The sequence below is a fragment of the Homo sapiens genome, chromosome 4, assembly GCF_000001405.40.
Source record: "Homo sapiens chromosome 4, GRCh38.p14 Primary Assembly".
Lineage (NCBI taxonomy): Eukaryota > Metazoa > Chordata > Mammalia > Primates > Hominidae > Homo > Homo sapiens.
Window position 1 is genome coordinate 76,696,816 of NC_000004.12, and position 19,791 is coordinate 76,716,606.

Sequence of the window (19,791 nt, forward strand, 5' to 3'; positions counted from 1 at the left end):
ATGTTTTCACATCCAGCTTGGAAGACCAGGCAGGCTCTGGGAACTGGGGGATAGCATAGGGATTCAAGGTTCAAGATGAAAACAAAACTAGCCGAGAGGTTTTTGTTGTTGTTTTTATAAGAGACAGGGTCTTGTTCTGTTGCCCAAGTGGGGTGCAGTGGTGCAATCATATCTCACTGCAACCTCGAACTCCTGGGCTCAAACAATCCTCCCATCTCAGCTTCCTGAGTAACTAGGACCACAGGCACATGCCACCGCACCCAGCTAATTAATTTTTTTTTTTTTTTTTTTGGTAAGAGATGAGGTCTCACTGTGTTGCCCAGGCTGGTCTCAAATTCCTGGCCTCAAGTGATCCTCCCACCTTGACCTCCCAAAACACTGGGATTAAGGTGTCAGCCACTGTACTCTGCCCCGAGAGTTTGTCTTGAAGCTATTTCCTGACATACTATTTGGAGGCTTCTTAAATTCCTTCTCATTTAGAGTCTGGTGGGCCCCAGAGTTGAGGCAGGACTTGGAATTACAGGTGGAAATTAAGCAGCCCTGGTGGTGAGGGTGAGGGGAGGTAGTTTCTAGTAGAAAGCACCAAAAATCAACACTCCTGAGGAATTCAATACTGGAAGAATTGTTATGCTCTTCTTGGAACAAGGCAAATCTGTTTTCAGAGATCTTTCAGCCCTGTAGGTATCTAACTAAGCACTTAAGTGATGCGATTGTGGGAGAAGGCAGTTAAGGGCACACTCTGGAGCCTTATAATAGGTTGGGTCCAAGCTTTACCACTTCCTTTGTGATCTTGAGCAGGTTATTTAAGTTACGTTTGCTTCAGTTTCTTTTTCTGTGAAATGAGGACAGCATTTCAGAGGGTTGCTGTAAAGATTAAATTTGTTATGTAAAAATACTTTGCATGTTGTACAGCCAGCACAGGTGCCAATTGTAATGTTTTTAAATGTTTTGAGAATGTCATGCTAAACTGAGGACATAGATTTTATCAGTTCTACTTTGTGGTATGTATGTCAGTGGGTCCAGAATTCCCCTGGAGAGCACAGGAAAGTGCTGGGGTGAGCAGGAACATACAGGATGAGGAAAAAAAGAATTCAAGCATTTATGACACTACCCTATAGTAACTAAGAGAAAGGAAAAATGAAGGGGATAAGTAGAAAATCAGCCCATGGAACTATAGTCACAAACACTTAGAAAAGGTCTACTGTAAGCTGTAAACCATTACTTTTCCACAAATGGGCTGCAGTTTGGTACCTTGATGTCCATGTAAATTGTGCTCCCAAAGAATATAAAGTAACCACTGGGAAAAGCTGAGTCCCCCTTTGGGTGATAGCAAAGGTTGGAAACATTTAGGTTTGATATTTGGAGGCATTTAAATAGCATGGAATGTCTATTATATACCCTAAAAAGCAGAACGAATCTTGGATATTATGGACACAAATGCATTTGGCATGAGCTTAAAAAAAGTGCATGTGAGCTTCTTTCTAAGACCCAATAATCCTCTTGGGCAAAGTAAGGATTAGGCCTCCCTCACAAACAAGGCAGGGAGTTCATTTTTGCTAAGATTCCTCAGCTGATGCCAAATTTAGCAAGGGACCCATTTTTTCCCAATGAATGACAATCTCCATTTACATTTTTAATGTCCACTCCTTTAGGCAGGTCTAGGGCTGGAGCAACTTATTTGCATATAGATAGGAGACAGGACCCTGGCTCCTACAGACTACATTGGGACCCTCAGAGACCTTCCTGAGCCAGAGTCCCTTTACCTCACTCGCTTACAAAAGGGGAGGGGTCTCCTACCCCAGAGCCTGAAGTAGGAAGGACTCAGGGGCTGAAAAAAGCTGGGGCCAAACTCATTCTGTTTTAAAGACAGCCTTGAAGATGCATTCACCAACAGCCATCCCTGCCTAGTGCCTGCGACTCCTGCCAGTGAGAGGTGGCCTCTAGGCAGCTCCTCTAGGTTAATTCTGTCATCCTTGACCTTGAGGAGCCCTTTCTTTCACACCACTCACTGGGTCCTCTATATCTATTCCCAAGGAGCTCAGGTAATGCCCTATATTTTCTGTTCTTATCTGCAAAAAAACCCCTCCACTTTGGATTTAAATATTTATATTCCTCCCCAAATGTTTTGGGCAATTTGTAGTTGCCCTTTTTAAGGAATTAACCCATCAAGACACCACCATCCTGTCACCCTCCCCATGGTGACTTTCCACATCCATCTCCCTTATGCAGGCCATGTTGATTGAACAATGATAGCACCTGTCTTGCAGTGGTTATTAAGCCACAGGGTAGATAATACTTTGTCCCCTTTTTACAGATGAGGTCCTGAGGTTCAGAGAGAATAGTGGCCAGGAACTGGCAGAGATCAGATTAGAACCCAGGTTGATCCAGCTACAAATCCTTTGTGTGCCTCCCCAACAAGACTGGAGGTCAGAAGCTGTCTTTTATTCTACACCAATTCCAACTCGGAGCCTGCATGTAGAACATGCTCATCCCTTGTTGATGTAGGTACGCAGATCATGTTTTCTCACTTGGGATTTGCCATGTAGGCCCTCCCCCTGCTTTTTACCTTTGGTTCATCAACTGTCAAAGGTAAAGGGACCCCCAGGCTCATCTGTACTAACCTCCTCATTTTACACATGAGAAAATAGTAGCCCAGAACATGAAAATGACTTGCTCATAGCAATTACAGAGACGGCCTTGTGCAGGTGTCCTGGCTGCAGGTCCAGTAATGTTTCCTGCTATAATAGGGTATGTATATATGGCCTTTTAGAGGGTCTACTTAACCATCCGTGCTCCCTTCCCTGATGTTTTGTGGGAACAGGGAAGAAGGATTACCAAATCGACTTTCCTGCTTTACTTCCACCGTGCTTGTTGCATGTTCTCTTTCTTGCTCCTTTCCACAAGTAGCTCCTTTCCAAAGTGCTTTTCTGGAGATGATTAATGGTACTACACCATGCAGCATAGTCTAGGAGAGGCATGTCAGAGGTATTTGGACTGGGATGTGTTCTATGTGACCCCAGCTTTACCCTTTGATGAGACTCCCCTGATGCAGGATGTTAGCCCTTTGTGGCTTCAGCTGAGGGTCTGAGCGTTGGCTGAGTTATATTCACATTGATGTAGTCCAAGCAGAATATCAGCAACAGAGCTGTACTCTGGGAAGACAGTAATTCCCATTCGAATGAGACAGGATAGATAACTGCAGGGAACCCATCAGGAAGCTGGCCTCGTGTCCACTCGGCATATTTTTATTAACCAAATACTTATTGGGCATCATCCAAGGAAGAGAACCATATGGGGCCAAGGAAGAAAGGAGAATCTCAAATAAGATTAAGACTATGACATCATAGTTAAGAGCATAGACTTTGTCATCAGCCAGATCTGGAGTCAAATTCTTTTTTCACCAGCATTTGGACAAACTTCCTGCACTTCTTTGAGTCTGTTTCCTCATGAATAAAGTAGGGACTAATAGCAGAAAGTCACCTGCCTTCAAGGTTGGCTGTAAGGATGGTAAGAAGCTGTGCAGAAACAGTTTGGCCCCCAGCCTGGCTCAGAGCACTCCATAAGGTAATGGCAACTTTGAGGACTGATGCTTGGATACCTGCCCTCCCTGGGGCATGCGACTGGGGGAAGCAAGTGTCTACACCGACTGTGTAAAAGTGAATGACAAGGAGAGGGAGGCATGCTGAGTGTGGGCTGCTCTCATGGTCTCTTTTCCCAGGACTTATGGCGTGTATGTATATATTTATTCAGTTAATTTTGGCTTTCTTCCCATTAATTTATAATTCCACAAAGGGAAGGATCGTGTCTGTTTTGCCACGAGTCCAGTGCCTAATCCAATGTGTGGCCTGTGGTTAGCCCTTAGCAATAGTTGATTGAATGAATGGATGATTGGGCTAGGTATAGATGTGACTAGGCTCTGGGTTTCAGCATGAAATATCTTTTTTTTTTCTTTCTTTCTTTCTTTTATTTATTTATTTATTTTTGAGACAGAGTCTCACTCTGTCACCCAGGCTGGAGTGCAGTGGCATGATCTCAGCTCATTGCAACCTTCCTCCACCTCCTGGGTTCAAGTGGTTCTCATGCCTCAGCCTCCTGAGTAGCTGGGATTACAGGTGTGAGCCACCACAACCAGCTAGTTTTTGTATTTTTAATAGAGATAGTGTTTCACCATGTTGACCAGGTTGGTCTCAAACTCCTGACCTCAAGTGATCTGCCTGCTTTGGCCTCCCAAAGTGCTGGGATTAGAGGCGTGAGCCACTGCACCTGGCCTTGAAATATCTATCTTAATATATCCTGCATCATTTCAGCAGTGTGACCGGCGCTAGAAAGTTCTTGTAGGGGCAGGAATGCTGTCTGGGTGTCAGGGGTAGGGACTTCATCATTTCTCTAGATCTAGGGACAGTTGGACTTGAGAGAGGGGTCTCATCTGAATTTCAGTCAGTCTACTTTCTTCTTCTGAAGCTTCCCCTTTAAAGAGGCTTTTGGTATTAAATGTTTGCTACTGTATCAATGGACTTTTAGGATCACAGAATCCAAAGGCAGTATGGAACAAGAGAGCTTAAAAATTAGAGTATGAGACCCTGCTGTGCCAGTCGTGTGGCTTAGAAGTCCTGACCTTGAGCGAATAACTGTCCCTCTATGAGGCTGTCTCTGCATCTGTTAAATGGGGATAAATAATACTTGCTTTACTTGCCTTTTAGGATTATTGAGGGCCAAATGAAATAATGTTTGGGAAGTGCTTTATAAGCTATAATCTGGTATTAAAGTAATGAATAATGGTTCGCTGTAGAGATTTGTATTGTTCTCTGGGAACACTAGTCTGTTACTGTAGGCTAATGATAGAGGATAGGGAAAGAAAGGCCTAGACTGAATTTTTTCAGGAGGTATTTGTCTCTCTCTACTGATACTAGTTTCACAGAAACCCTGCTTCTTCCTCCACTGGCTATTTTCAGCAGTTATTGGAGCTCTCAAAGTAATCCCCTTCACCAACTAGTGTGGAGTCTTTCTGCTGCCCACATATGCTCTCAGGATAGGCACTTCCATTTCCTAGAGAAGATGTTCCTTTAAAAATGTAGAAAATTTAGACCCTTAGACTCATTCTATTAAGAAAAAATAAGGCTAATTTTACTATTATCTGATAATTAAAATAATAAACATTAATTGTAAACAATTTGCAAGACATAGAAAAGAGAGAAGAAAAATAGTACCCATAATCCTGTCACCCAGTAGTAACATTTTGGAATACTTGCTGGTGTTTTGTTTTTATGCATATGTTTTATCTCATATGAATAACAAAAGAGTGATGTGGAAAAATTAAAGGCATACATGGTTTGATATGTGGTTGATACCTACCAAAGTATACAAAGCCCAGTAATCCTAAAAGGAATCTAATGGGGTAGGTAGTGGAGAGGGTGAGGCCTTTAGCCATAGCTCTTTCTACTTTTTAATTTAATTTTTCTTTTCTTCTTTACAATAAGGATGATTATTGCCTCAAATGATAAGAAGATTAACTGAATTACTGTTTTTAAAGCACAAATAATCTGGTACATACCATGTGCCCAGTAAATGTAAGTTTCAGTTCTACGGGTAAAAATTTAATAATTATTGCCAGGCACTGTTCTGATTGCTTTATACATATTAATTCATTCAAGCCTCACATCTACCCTTTGATGAAGGTGCTATTAGTATTCTTATTTTATAGGGGAAAAAACAGGCATAAGAGGTTAAGTGACCTGCTCAAACACCTTCCTAGGTGACAGAGCCAGAACAGGACCCCAGGCAGCTGGCTCCGGAATCCACATCGTCCATATACATTACACAGCCTGCTGCTTGTTGGAGTTGTCTTAAGATCTAGGCTCTGAGTGCTTGTAGCTAGGGGCACACCGCTTCCATGAAGATATCATCTGTTCACTATAAAGCCCTTGTGAGAGCCCTTGGTTTTCTTATGCACTTGTCCTGGGCTACTAGCTGTGTCAAAGGGCTCAGTGGGTAGAGGGACTGATGTCAGCAGTAAACTGAAGCAGATTAATATTTATTAGGCAGGTTAAAAGATTTGGCAGGTCATTTGGCTTTTTCTCCTATCCACCCTTTCCTCATCTTTCTGCAAGGTTGACATAGAGGTCATTGGCTAAGATCTGGAGATAATTAAGCTTACGGTTTCAGAAAGAGTCAGAAATATGCTGAATGTTACTGGGGTATATTGTACACCTGGATTTGTTTGGCAAGTTTCAGGGGGAAATCAAGTGAAAAAAAGCAGCAGCCAGAGCAGGAGGTGCAAATGGACAGAGGTTTGAGACATACAAAGTGCATCTCTGCAGAGCTGAAGGGTTATGTGTGGCCCTCCTGTAATAAAACAAGCTGTAGACCAGGGTAGGTAAGCAGAAAGACAGGAGGAGGCTTTAAGTACAAATGAATGGCATGCCTATGACTAAAACACTAGATAGGATACAGGCCTGAGGGCATGCAGAGGGAGCTTCCTAGATGGTAAATAATGACTTAAAAAGGAAAAAAGATGAGTAATGAGAGGACAGGACCCAGAAGGTTAAGACTTAAATGTGTAAGTTACAAAAGGTCAGTAACAGGAACAAGGGGGCCTTTTAAAGAAAGGGTAATTCATTGAGATGTCTGTGAAACGGCTGATCAATGGTCAGTTATCAGAAAATGAAGAGCACCTATGTTTGGCTAAGAACAGAAATCTGTGCCTGAGGGCATCACTTCTTAAAATCTTCTTCAGACACTGAAAAAGCTTCTAATCTAAGGCCTTTTCAGCCTCCTGGAGACTCAAGAGAAAAAGTGCTGAGAAACCTACAACTATGGCATTAGAGACCTGCAAACCCAGGAGAAGGGGGATGACAGGATAGAGATGCAATAGTAAGGCTAACTTCATGGATGAAGGACACAGAGTAGAAGGAAAACTTGAAAACCAAGAACGTGGCTTTAAATAAGACAAATTGCCACATGAATGAGTGTACACACCCAACATAAATCAAAAGGAATTTCTCCAAAGGATTCTGAGGACAAACTTAGCCCTGTATAAATGCATCCTGTCTACTTAATCACAAAAAGCATTCTGATTGCCTCCAAACATAAGGCAACAAAATTGCACTGAGCCATACCAGCTGTTTGTCGAAGGGGCTCTGCCACAGTCTCCCAACTCCCAACTTTTCTTGTCTGTCCCAAGAAAGCCTGCCGCTAATGAGATGGATCAAAAGTTAGGGCTAGATTCTATTTTCAAGAAGAAATCAACTCAGAGCCTGATCTAGAAAGTAACTAGAAGAAAAGAAGATCCCACATTTCCCAAAATAGATATTATGAACAGTTTAATGCCCTTATGGATTTAAGGACATAGAACTTTGTTTTGGATGCATTACAATTATTTCCTTTACAGGTTCCTATGATTCATTCAGCAAATATGCATTGTGTGCCTACCAGGAGACACTCACTGTGCTAGGCCTTGGGTGTGTAGAAGTTTCAAAAAACAAGGCTGAAGAAAAGCCAGAGGTGGACCCTGACCTGGCTGAGCTTATGTCTTAACAACGAAGCAGACAATGCACAAGTGAACAATTTCATGTGGTTATAAGTGCAGTAAAGGGAAAGATCAGGTGCCAGGAAAGAGTATTTGCATTAGATAAGGCAGTCTCCGAGGAGGTGATGTTCCAGCTGGGAGCAGAAACTAAGGAGTGGTCAGCCAAGAAATGAATTGGGAAGAATATTCCAGGCTTAGAGAACAGCATGTGCAAAAAGCAAAGAGCTTGGCAAGTTTGGGGAACCTAAGGAAGGCCAGTGAGGTCAGAATGCAGTAAGGGGAAAGGTTGAAGGAGGGGCAGGAGCCACGTCACCAGAGACCTTGCAGGCCAAGTAGGGGAACCTGGATTTTATCCAAAATGCATAGGGAAGCTACAGGATTTCATCAGGGAATGACATCATCCATTTACATTTTTTGAAAGGCTGCTGGGTAGACACTGGATTGGAGGGGACAGAAGTGGAAGGGGGAGGCCAGTGAGGAAGCATTCCCTCCTGGATGAAACATAACAAAAAAGGAGGAAATGGCTGATTCTAACAGACAAAACCAAGCACTTCCCTAAGGTTGTAACAGACCATGCCAAGGAGACACGATTCCTCCATCTCACCCTCCCCTTTAAGGATAAAATAGAAAAATGCAAACTCAATAGAAACCAGGAAGCAAAGGGACCTGGAGAGACCATGCCTAATGGCTCAGTTCCGTGTCTTTTACTCCAGTTTCCCCAGCCTTCCCTAATTTGTACAGTGTTCAAGAGAGCCCTAAGGAACTGAAAGATCTGGAACCCTTTCTTTTGTATTGGCTGAAACTCAGTTCAGAAAGCAGTTAATGGGTACTATTAAAATACCAAATAGGTTGGGCATGGTAACTCATGCCTGTAATCCCAACACTTTGGGAGGCCAAGGTGGGTGGATCACTTGAGCCCAGGAGTTTAAGACCAGCTCAGGCAATGTAGTGAGACTCCGTCTCTACAAACAACAACAACAACAACAACAACAACAAAACATTAAAAATCAGCCTGACATGGTGGTGCATGCCTGTGATCCCAGATACTTGGGAGGCTGAGGTGGGAGGATCACTTGAGCCTGGGAGGTCGAGGCTGCAGTGAGCCAAGATTGTGCCACTGCACTCCAGCCTGGGTGACAGAGCAAGACCCTGTCTCAAAAACGAAACAAAACAAAAAGCAAATAAGAAAGCAGTCAGTATATATTCTGGAGTTATGAATATTGGGTGGCAGGCAGAGCAAATATGAATGTCCTCATCATGGGAAGTAGAAGAAATATGTGGGTGGCTGGCCTGGCTTTCTTGTTTAACTATCTGGAAGAAGAAAGATCATACTACAGTATATTTTTTTAGCCTCTGCTAAACTTTCTCAGGTCAGCTTTGATTCCTAGCTCTTCACTCATAGTGGTAATATTGAGATATAGATACTGGAGAACAGCAAGAAACATAAACATAAAACAGCTCCAAGAAATGTCTTGTTAGTTTTGCCAACAAGTTAACTTGTGAGTTAAAAGGATATAGGAGGGAAGAAAGGCTGCAGATCTGTTGAACATTTAGCAGTACAGTCGACCCTTGAACAACACAGGGGGATTGGGGATGCTAACCCCCTAGAGTCAAAAATCCATTTACAACTCTTGACTACCCTAAAACCTAACTACCAATAGCCTACTGTTGACTGGAAGCCTTACAGTTGATTAACATATTTTGTATGTCATATGCATTACGTACTGTATTCTTTCAACAAAGTATGCTAGAGAAAAGAATGGTTTTTGTTTTGTTTTGTTTTGTTTTTTGTTTGTTTTTGAGACGGAGTCTCCGTCTGTTGCCAGGCTGGAGTGCAGAGCTCAGCTCACTGCAACCTCTACCTCCCGGGTTCAAGTGATTCTCCTACCTTAGCCTCCCGAGTGGCTGGGATTACAGGCATGTACCACCACGCCCAGCTAATTTTTGTATTTTTAGTAGAGATGGGGTTTCACCATGTTGACCAGGCTGGTCTCGATCGCTTGACCTCATGATCCACCCACCTCGGCCTCCGAAAGTGCTGGGATTACAGGCGTGAGCCACTGTGCCTGGCCGAAAAGAATGTTATTATGCTAAGAAAATCATAAGGAAGAGAAAATACGTTTACTATTCATTAATCAAAAGTGGATCATCACAAAGGTCTTCATTCTCATTGTCTTCATGTTGACTAGGCTGAGGAGGAGTAAGAGGATGGGTTGGTCTTGCTGTCTTGGGTGGCAGAGATGGACGAAGAGGTGGAAGGGAAGACAGGAGAGGTGGATACAGTTGTTTGAAAAAAATCTGCGTATAAGAGGACCCACGTAGTTCAAGCTTCTGTTGTTCAAGGGTCATCTGTACTTTATTCATTCAACAAATATTTATTGAGCAACTCTCTGTTCCAGGCACTAAGCTGAGCTGGTTTATCTTTGTTGACCTGTGGAAGAGAGGGACCAGCAAGCAGGCAACTAGCAGCCAGTGTGAATTGCACTTTGAGGTGTACATCTATAGCCAGTGTGCTGCACTGCTAGCACACAAGGGGCCACCTCACCCCGACTTCCACAGTTCCTCTGGGTAGCCAGCAGAGGAAATGATGTCGAAATTGAAACCTGAAGGATGAGTGTGGATAAGCCCGGAGAGGATCCTTTAGGGATCTAGAAGTAGCCCAATAGGCCTGGAGAGTGTATAGTTTATCCCAGTATGTTTCACTTGAACTGGATTCATTGATTTCCAGGCTTCTACAATGTATCGTTGGTTATCTTTAAGTGAGACATTGTACCTTTTAGTATCTTTTAAGTAAAAATGGGCTTATTTGGTAATATGTTTAGTTAATGGCTCTACCATCACCATTCCCTACCAAATCTGGGTTAGTAATTGTAACGCCTACAAAATCTGTGGCATAAATTGAACATTTTTGAAACCTGCCAAACTGAAAGGAAGGAGAGTGAGTGGTTGACAGTCCGAAGGGAATATGATTCCATGTGTGGTTTGAGCAAATTTACATAACTTCTCTGTATCTCAGGTTGTCAGTCTGTAAAATGGGACTTAAACCCTCATTCATTCTCTCCTTCATAAAAAAGTTGTGGGAATAATATCTGGCACATGGGAAAGCACACTTTTTTTTTTAAGAAAGACTTGGCAAATTTGCCTGAGTCGTGTATAACCATTGGCGCACCAGTGGGGCACCATTCCCCGATAAGATCAAAGCACATTGCAGACTTTGTCTATGGCAGTCTGTTTTGAGGCTAAGTAGCAACTTGAGGTGGGTAAGAAAATGTGCATTCTAGAGACAGCATGAGTTCAATGTACAGGTAAGGTATTCAATGTACAGGTAAGGCAGAAGGAAGGAAGGGCAAAGAAACAATTCCAGGGCCCTGGTTTCTGGGATGACAGGCTTCCCAACACTCATGCCAGGACTATTTTCCACCTCGGTTCACTATGGGTTTTTTTTCTTTTTTTTTAATATAATGAATTTTTAAAATGTGTGTTTGTTGCCCAGATTATTCCAGAAAGAGTTGAAGGGAGGAAAGGTGTGCTTGGTGTGCTGGTGATTCTAGCACTCTCTCCAGCCTGATTTCTAGTTTGTGTGGTGCATCCAGACAGCTCACCCAGGTGCCCAGGCTCTTTCTGGTATCCAGAGCCAACCCATCCAGGGCAGGAGGGTGAAGATTAGGAGGGGCAAAGGTTAGCCTGGAGGTTGCAATTAACAAGAATCAAAATGGGTTTCAGGATTCTCACACCCAGTTGCTAATTTCAGCTGGTCCTGTAGAGGTGACACGTAGTAGGACAACATGGTTTTGGGGGCAGTGCTGGGGTGCTGGTCTCTGCTTTTCTAGGGTAGAAAGGAATCATACATTGAAAATGCTTAAATCGATGGAATGATTTTATGTTCCTCATGCTTCCATCTCTTTCTGGTCTGCCTGCTCTTCCTGCCAGCCCTTCACTGTGACAGTCACCACTCCTAGACCTCTGTCTCTAGGCATCTCCCAGGAAGGAGAAGTGGAAAGGAAAGAGAAAAGAGCTCAGTCTCTGGTGCCCAAGACATTGTGCAAAAAAAAAAAAAAGATGGAGTCGAAAACTTTGGTTTACACAAAAAATTAGGAAGTTATTAAATACTACAAAGGTTTTATGAAAGCTCAGGCCTGGTCTTGATTGTTTTCCCCCAACAAACAAAGTTAGGGTCTAAAGGGGTCCTGAAAAGGAAAAGTCCCTCCCCTGGTTATACCAATGGGTGGTCTTGGAGTGTGCTGTTTACACTCATATAATCTTTACAGTCAGGTATTGGATGGCGAGGTATCTTTCAATCTACTTTCTAGTCACCGATTGTTCCTATGCGTGCATTATATAGATGACAGAACTGAGGTACAGAGAAGACAAAGTCACAGAGCTGCTCAGTGGGTAGAGCCAGGACTCAGACTCCAGAGTCATGCTCCTAAAACCATGGTACACTGCCTCATGGTTTCACTTTACCGTGGATGAGGAGCCTGAGACTCAGAATTTACTTGACCAATTTATTCAGTTCATTATTGACATAACCTCAACCAATTTTCAAACTTCAAGTCTAGCACTATATTGAATATATCCAAAGCCGAGAATCCTAAATTCGGTGAGAAAAGTAATGTACAGAAGGAGGTGGTGGTGCTTAGATATAACTAAGGTAAACATGAAAACTTGAGCTTAGAAATGGAAACTCCCTGTTGGCCTCCTGGCCATCTTCCCCATGCTGTAGAATAAAAAGAGATCCTTTCATTTGCCTTAGGATTTAGGAAAGAAAGCTCTTTCACTTCCGTTCTGTGTTCCAGGAAATAGAAGGCCAGATGGACGGGGCTTATTCTTAACAGCTGTTCAGTAATCCCTTCCCCTCTCAGCCATGGCCTGTGCAGAGGAGGCACGGCCTCATTTGTACCTTCTCCAGATTCTGTTTATGGGCCCACCAGTCAGATCTCAGAGGCTTAGAAAAATCCTTGAAGACAGAAATTGAAAATAAACCACTGGTTCCCCACAAACAGAGATGATGACAAAACTTCAAAGCCTGATGCAGGGGACAGTCTGATGAGACATCAAGAGCACAGTCAGGATGCTTAGAAATTCATGACCTGTCACTGTCCTAAGGAGAAGAAATGTTCCTGTTCCCATGGCGGAACACATTGGCCATGTAGGGCTTAAAATTTTTCTCTGACTCCCTGGGAGTATGGAGGAAGAGAGTTATGGGAATGGTGTTAGGGACTGGGGGTGGGAGGGTGGATTTAAATGGACACACAAAAGGCTTGCCTCCCAGTGCAGTGGAATCTAAACAATCTGAAATAGCTCAAGCTCAAGAGTTGGCATGTGCTTCTGAGCTGCCACCCACTGAACAGAGCAAGGCCTGTTACACTTGGAGATCCCGCTCCTTAAAGAGAACTTGAGAAGTGAGGTGGCAGAGGCTTGGTTTCAAACCACCTCGTTTGACAGTTTGCTTCAGTGAATCCAGTTTTTCCCTTATTACCAAAACCAAATTACAGGGGAGTTTGTCTTTATAACAGTTAATATAACTTTCTTCCTTTTTGCTTAGAAAATCTGGGTTTTCTGAGATTGGGAAATAATGCTTTATTGCTTCAGAGGAACATGGATAAAAAAGGAAGACACGACACTCAGTAGTGGATTCGCCTTCGTAGGGCAGAGAACTTTGTTAGGTGCAGGCTTAGAACCCTGCACTTAGCTGTGCTGCTTTGCTCTGGCTCCGGGGTTCGTTTTCATGTGCTTTTTCGGTTTTTAAGATTCATTTGTGCTCCTGTCCATGAACACCATCATGCTCAGCTTCTTCTTTTCCTATTGTTGACAGAGATGTGTGCACAGACCCAGGCCATGCAGATACTGGTGCCTCTAACTTCGTCAGCCCAGAACACCTCACCTCTGGCCCCCAGCACAGGAAAGCAGCGTGGTCAGGAGGGGTTAAACTTCGGCTGAAGCACAGGTAAGACGCACGGAAGTTGGTGCTGGCAGTTCGGAAAAAGAACCCAGTCCAAAAAGCCACTCAGCTGCTGGGAGAGGAGTCGGGGGCAAGGATGGTCAGGATACAGGCTGTTGAGAGAGAGGTAAGAGGCAGAACAAGGAGGCGAGATAGAAGCTCAGAGTTTAGAAGGATACTGATCTTATTAATGGTAGTTTACGCACAAGGTTCTAAAGAACTGTAAAGTTCCTGGGAGGTCATTCCAGGGTCCCACAAATAGTTTGATTCAAATATCATTTCAAAAATACATTTATAATTATTTGTAAAACTACAATTTAAAACATCAAAAGTGATACACTTATGTTTTATACCTTGGAAATGATCAGTGTGCCAAATTGTACAGCAAGACTAATTCATCTTTGAACTAATCTTCATTTAAAATTTCTCGGAGGAATGTCCCAAGATTCCAACGTAAGCCTAACAAAGATTTGTAGCTACTTACCCATGTGGGTCAGATTTTGAGAGTGAATGAACCTGAGTGCTTCCCATGTGCTAGGTGTCCTGGCTTTGCACGGGCTATCTCATTAAATTCTCACACCAGCCCTGTGAGGTTTGCTCTTGTAGAATAGCATTCAGCTAGGAGGCAGTGGATTCAAATTCAGCCTCTACACCAATGCCTCAGCATCAGCACAACAGTGCCTACTTCATAGGACAACTGTAGGATTCAACGAGATACGGTATTCAAAGCACTCAGCACACAGCCCACTCAGAACAAAAAATAAATGTTAGGTGGTGGTATAATGCTGTGTGAATATAATTATCCTCATCATTCTCATCATTATCACAAAAGTCTGTATGATATCATGAATGGTAGTATGATACGGGGAGTAAGATGGGGTTTGTGCAGTGTCAGACTACCTAAAATTCAAGCCTAGATTCTGCCACTTACCATAGACCCTCAGACTTGTTATAGAAGCTCTCTCTACTTCCAACTGTAAAATAAGTTTAATAACTGATCCGCCTCCTAGGGATGCTGAAAGGACTGAAAGAGCCGATACATGTCAAGCACTAGGGCTGTGCCTACTATGTCATGAGTGCAACAAATGTTATCATAGTAACCAATTATCTTGATTTCAGTTTGGGAAGTTCTTTCATATAGACATGTCGACTTGCATTATAAATAAGTAGGCTGGGCTCAGTGGCTCATGCCTGTAAGCCCAGAGATTCAAGACCAGCCTGGGCAAAATGGCAAAACCCTGTCTCTACAAAAAATATAAAAATTAGCTGGGCATACTGGCACACACCTGTGGTCCCAAGTACTCTGGAGGCTGAGGTGGGAGGATTGCTTGAACCTGGGAGGTCGAGGCTACAGTGAGCCATGATTGAGTCACTGCGCTCTAGCCTGGGAGACAGAGCTTCAAACAAACAATATAATTTGGATTTATGCAAATCCATATTGGTATCTTTAGACTATCCATGTTCAATAATACACAAATATACATAAAAGAAATAATGTTATATAATAAAACAACACTTGTATTGGGGTGTTTAAGGTTCTTTGTTAGATTTCATTTGAAAAAAAAAAAAAGATTTAAAAGAAGTTTAAACATACCAAAGGTCTAGGGAGGCCAACTGGCTGGTGTCTGAGAGTCAGGCCAAGAACAGGGTGAGATTCGCCAAGACCTCTGACTCAAGAGATCCAGCCAGCAAGGTTGCTCCCAGAGACATCCTAAGAAGCAGAAGCTCCGAGGTTATCACTCTTTCCTTTAGCCTGCTAGGATCTTTAAAATATAGAGAATCAAAATTTTCTCTTTAACAAGGAGGTGTCCACAGGGCCCGATAGGCTAATCTAATGTCAGTGCCAAAGCTCAAGGCCAGAAAGTAGTAGTTAGGGAGTTTCTGCTCCAGCCTGGAAAGAAAATGATCAAGACCTGAACTAAATCAATGGTGATGGGACAAGAGATGAGACAGATTTGAGATAAATTTAGGGAGGCAGAATAAATAGCAGATGAGGGTAGGATAAAGGAGAGAAAAACTAAAGAGTGACTGCTGAGTTGCTGGTATGAGGCACTTGGGGATATCTGCAGGGCCATTAGGACAGGGAAGGCAGGAATCACAGAAACTGACTGGGGGTTAAGAATATCAGCAGTAGAATCACATAGACCTGGGTTTGAGCTAGAAACAATTAAAATATTTTATAAAACAATCCCTGAAAGTTGAGTGGAACAAACAAATGTATATCTACTTACTATCTTAAACATAAATAAATCATATTTATAACAAGCTGGGATTGTCCTCATCAGTGTGGTCAAAGCTGGCCGATGGCGCTATGTCTGTATGGAGAACATAAGCGACAAGCAATTTCCTTTGTAAAAAGTCATGAGCTAGATGGTGCAGACATCACTCCTGCTCTTGGCTGGAATTTTTACTCTTCATACACTAAGAATTTTACATGTATGTGTCATATCTCTACAAATACAGTCACGTATTGCTTAATGACAGGGATACATTCTGAGCAATGTGTCATTAAGCGATTTTATTGTTGCTGAACATACTAGAGTGCACTTACACAAACCTAGATGGTGTGACCTACACACCTGGGCCATTTGGTGTAGCCTAGACTATGGTGTAGCTCTTAGACTATGAACCTGGACAGCATGTTGCTGTACTGAATTCTGTAGGCAATTGTCACACAATGGTAAGGATTTGCTTGTCTAAACAGACAAAAATACAATGTAAAAGATAAAAAGGATACACCTACATAGGGCACTCACCATGAAGGGAGCCTGCAGGAATGGCAGTTGCTCTGGGAGAGTCAGCGAGTGAGTGGTGAGTGAACGTGAAGGCCGGTACTGTGCACTGCTTTACTGTACACTGAGGCTACGCCAAATTTATTTAAAATTTTTTCTTCTATAATTAACGTTAGCTTACTGTAACTTTATAAACTTTTAAACTTTTAAAAATATTTGACTCTTTTGTATTAACACTTAGTTTAGAACACAGACACATTGTATAGCTATACAAATATTTTCTTTTTTATATCCTTATCCTAAAAGCTTTTTTTCATTGAATTTTTTTTTCTTTTAAACATTTTTGTTAAAAACTGAGACACAAACACACACTCTAGCCTAGGCCAAACAGAGCAGGATCATCAATACCACTGGCTTCTACCTTTATGTCTTGTCCCTCTGGAAGGTCTGCAGGGGCAGTGCATGGAGCTGAGCTCTCCTGGATAACACTGCCTTATTCAGGAACACCTCCTGTAGAACCTGCCTGAGGCTATTTCACAGTTAGCTTCTTTTTTTAATAAGTGGGAATACAGAATAAAATAATGATTAAAAGTATAATATAGTAAATACATAAGCCAGTAACACACATTTATTATAAAGTATTATGTACTGTACATGATTGTATGTACTGTACTTTTAGAGGACTGGCAAGTGCAGTAGGTTTATGCCAGCATCAAAACCACGTGAGTGATGGCTACAGCTTCACCAGGCGATAGGAATTTTTCAGCTCCATTATAATCTTATGGAACCACCGTCATAATGTGCACTCCATTGTTGGCTGAAATGTCATTATGTGGCACATGACTGTAAATTGTAAGCCCTATGTTAGTGTACCTCCTAATTTTCCTGTCCCCCAAGAAGTCTCTCTGCAACCCAACTGTTACTGATATGGGACTAACCTAGGAAATCAGAGTCATTCTCATCTAGTTACGCTCAGATCCTACATCCTGTTTGTTTTGCTTTTTACTTTTTTGTTTTGAAATCATTGTAGACTCACAGAAAAGTTGTAAAAATAGTACAGAGATTTCCTGTATACCTGTCACCCAGCTTTCTCTAATGTTAACACCCTTTATAACCGTAGTACAAATATCAAAACTAAGAAATCAGCACTGGTGTAATACTATTAGCTAACAGACTTAACTTTATATAAACTATAAACTTTACTCAGATCTCACCATTCTTTCCCATTAATGTCCTGTTTCTGTTCTAGGATCCCACATTGTGTTCCCTTAGCCTCCTCTGATCTGTGATATTTCCTCAGTCTTTCCTTGGCTTTTGTGACCTTGACACTTTTGAAGAGCTCTGGGCAGATATTTTGTAGAATGCTTACTATTTGGGTGTGTCTGATGTGTTCTCATGGTTACATTGAGGTGATGGCTTTTGACAATACCACAGAAGTGATGTTGTTTTCTTCTGTCTCATATAAGGGTTACATGATGTCAATATGTCTCATTACTGGTGATGATTAACCTTGATTACTTGGTTATGGTGAAGTCCGCCAGGTTTTTCTATTTTAAAGTTACTATTTGTCCCTTTGTAATTAATAAATAACCTTGGAAAGATAATTTTCAGGCTATGGAAATATCCTGTTTCTCCTCAAACTTTCTTCACTGATCTTGGCATCTATCAGTGTTGCCTGTGACAACTATTACTATAATGTTCTAAATTTGATTCTTTATTTCTTTCATTTTTTCTACATTTATTAATTAGAATTTTTAAAAAAGCCTATTTCTCTCCTCTACTTATTTATTCATTATTCATTCATGTCAGTAAGGACTCTTCCATATTTATTTTATCCTGTGGGTTATAATTCAGTACTACTGTTATTTATTTTGTTGTTCAAATGGATCTAGTTTTGGCCATCGAGAGCTCTTTTGAGCTGGCTCTGGTCTAAGTCCTGTTTGGAAATGTGGAAAAGGATGAGGTAGTGATGCCTTGTCCTTACACAAAAGACTGCAGACCATGATGTGCTATCATCTTCTTAGGAGTCTTATAAATGTTGAAGTGGGAGGTTGATGGTGGGTATGGAGCAGTTCTAATTTGTGACATGTCACAGAGGCCTATACTGATTTTGGAATTGGAAAGTGCTGTGGTCACCTCATGAGCTAGTTCCAAGTCCATGAGTAACAGGTATATATATATTCATAGCTCCTTCATTGTGGAGAAAATAGCCAGGAAGGATCTTCTCACTTATCTATAAGAAAAAAGAAAAGCCAGAAGCTCATTTCCCAGGTATATATAGGAGCCAGTGAAACAACCAAGTTAAACAGAGAGAGACACTTTTAGTGGTCCAGGGCTTAATATTCTCACAGATCCAATCCCACCCTTCCTTTCCCGCTTAGATCCCTGCATTCTCTCTTATCTATCAACAGGAATTCTTATGATCTAACTTATCTTGGCAGAAACTTCTCTCTAAAATCTATCAAGCCTTGGGCTAGGGTAATGAGTCGGTAAAGGAGACAAAATGTTCTAGCTTGAAACTGAAGATTTTCCAAGCCGATGCTTTTCTCCATAAGCTTCTCATTCCTTCCTCACCTTCTCCCACAAGTCATTATAAAAATAGTCTGATGTAATTATTAAGCATTTACCCTTATATGGGGATCTCGGATCACCATGCTTCATAAAGTAAATCAAGATGAATGGATAATAGAAGCTCAGAATCTGACTCCTCTAATTCATTCTCAATTGAACAGCAAGGTTAGTTCTGCGGTGCTGTCCCTTGGCAGTGAGTTCTGTCCCTGTGCTGCTGACTTAGTGTTTTCATGACAGTACATCTTAGGAAGATGCGGTGAGATGTTGTTATAGAACCACTGCTTCAGTCGACTCCCTAACTATGGGAGGCTTAAAGCAACTAGCACTTTTGTAGACAGTGGCATTTTTGCATATGGAGGAGGGCATGTGTTTAGCAGAGAAGATCATTTAAGGAGACTTCCTGATTTCAGTTTGATGCATTCTATCATCAGATGATTTTCCTTGCTTCCCTCCTCCTCTTGCCCACAAAAATAGAATTCCAGCATTTCTAAGCTATAGGCTATTGTTCAAGATGCCAGCTCTTCTCAGGGAGTCATTAAGGGTCACCTTCTCTTCTTCCCTCTTACAGAGCAGGAATTGAATTTTAATTGGCCAATTTACAGAGGGGACTGGCATTGAGAGTCCCTCCCACTTGCGCTGAGCTGGGCAAGTTCAAGGCGATTCAGGCCGTCCAACTGGAGGCACATGTAGTACTTGTGAGGCTTTTACCATGCTGTGGGGAGCAGAAAGAGCAGTAGCAGGGCAGAATGGCTTTTTATTCCACGACTGAATATGACATCCAATTGGCCAGAGGGTTGCTATCTGGGATGTTTCTATTTGCCACAAGGTAAGTTCAGTATTGTGTTAGAATGCGATTCAGAATCTTTCATTGCAGGATCCTCCAATGACAAGCCTTTAACAGCTGTCTTTTTGATATTGTGCTATATCTGTTTATAAAGAAAAATAACCAACTGCCTGTTAGGTTTAAACCTGTTTCTCTAAATTGTTATGAATATTCTCATTATTTGAATATCTCACATGAT

At 42.0% G+C, this 19,791-nt stretch overlaps 1 protein-coding gene and 1 long non-coding RNA gene across 3 annotated transcripts in view, besides 2 other annotated features; one reads left to right on the plus strand and one right to left on the minus strand.

The window, feature by feature from the left end:
• Positions 1-19,791, plus strand: part of SHROOM3 (shroom family member 3) — a 348,025-nt gene that overhangs the window by 261,587 nt on the left and 66,647 nt on the right. Inside the window, exon 3 of the mRNA NM_020859.4 lies at positions 13,341-13,472. Within this exon, the coding sequence (NP_065910.3) occupies positions 13,341-13,472 (132 nt within the window). The remainder of the gene's footprint in view (positions 1-13,340; positions 13,473-19,791) is intronic.
• Positions 614-1,332: an enhancer, noted in NCBI's record as "H3K4me1 hESC enhancer chr4:77618582-77619300 (GRCh37/hg19 assembly coordinates)". NCBI's record gives its function as "activates a minimal SCP1, AML or CMV promoter by ChIP-STARR-seq in naive H9 embryonic stem cells {active_cell/tissue: H9 hESC(naive)}" and the evidence as "EXISTENCE:reporter gene assay evidence [ECO:0000049][PMID:30033119]".
• Positions 768-867: an enhancer, noted in NCBI's record as "active region_21630". NCBI's record gives its function as "activates an Ori minimal core promoter by ATAC-STARR-seq in GM12878 lymphoblastoid cells {active_cell/tissue: GM12878}" and the evidence as "EXISTENCE:reporter gene assay evidence [ECO:0000049][PMID:35858748]".
• Positions 13,091-19,791, minus strand: part of SHROOM3-AS1 (SHROOM3 antisense RNA 1) — a 92,558-nt gene continuing 85,857 nt past the window's right edge. For both annotated transcript variants that reach the window (NR_187405.1, NR_187404.1), the window contains one exon: positions 13,091-13,579. This is a non-coding gene — a long non-coding RNA (SHROOM3 antisense RNA 1). The remainder of the gene's footprint in view (positions 13,580-19,791) is intronic.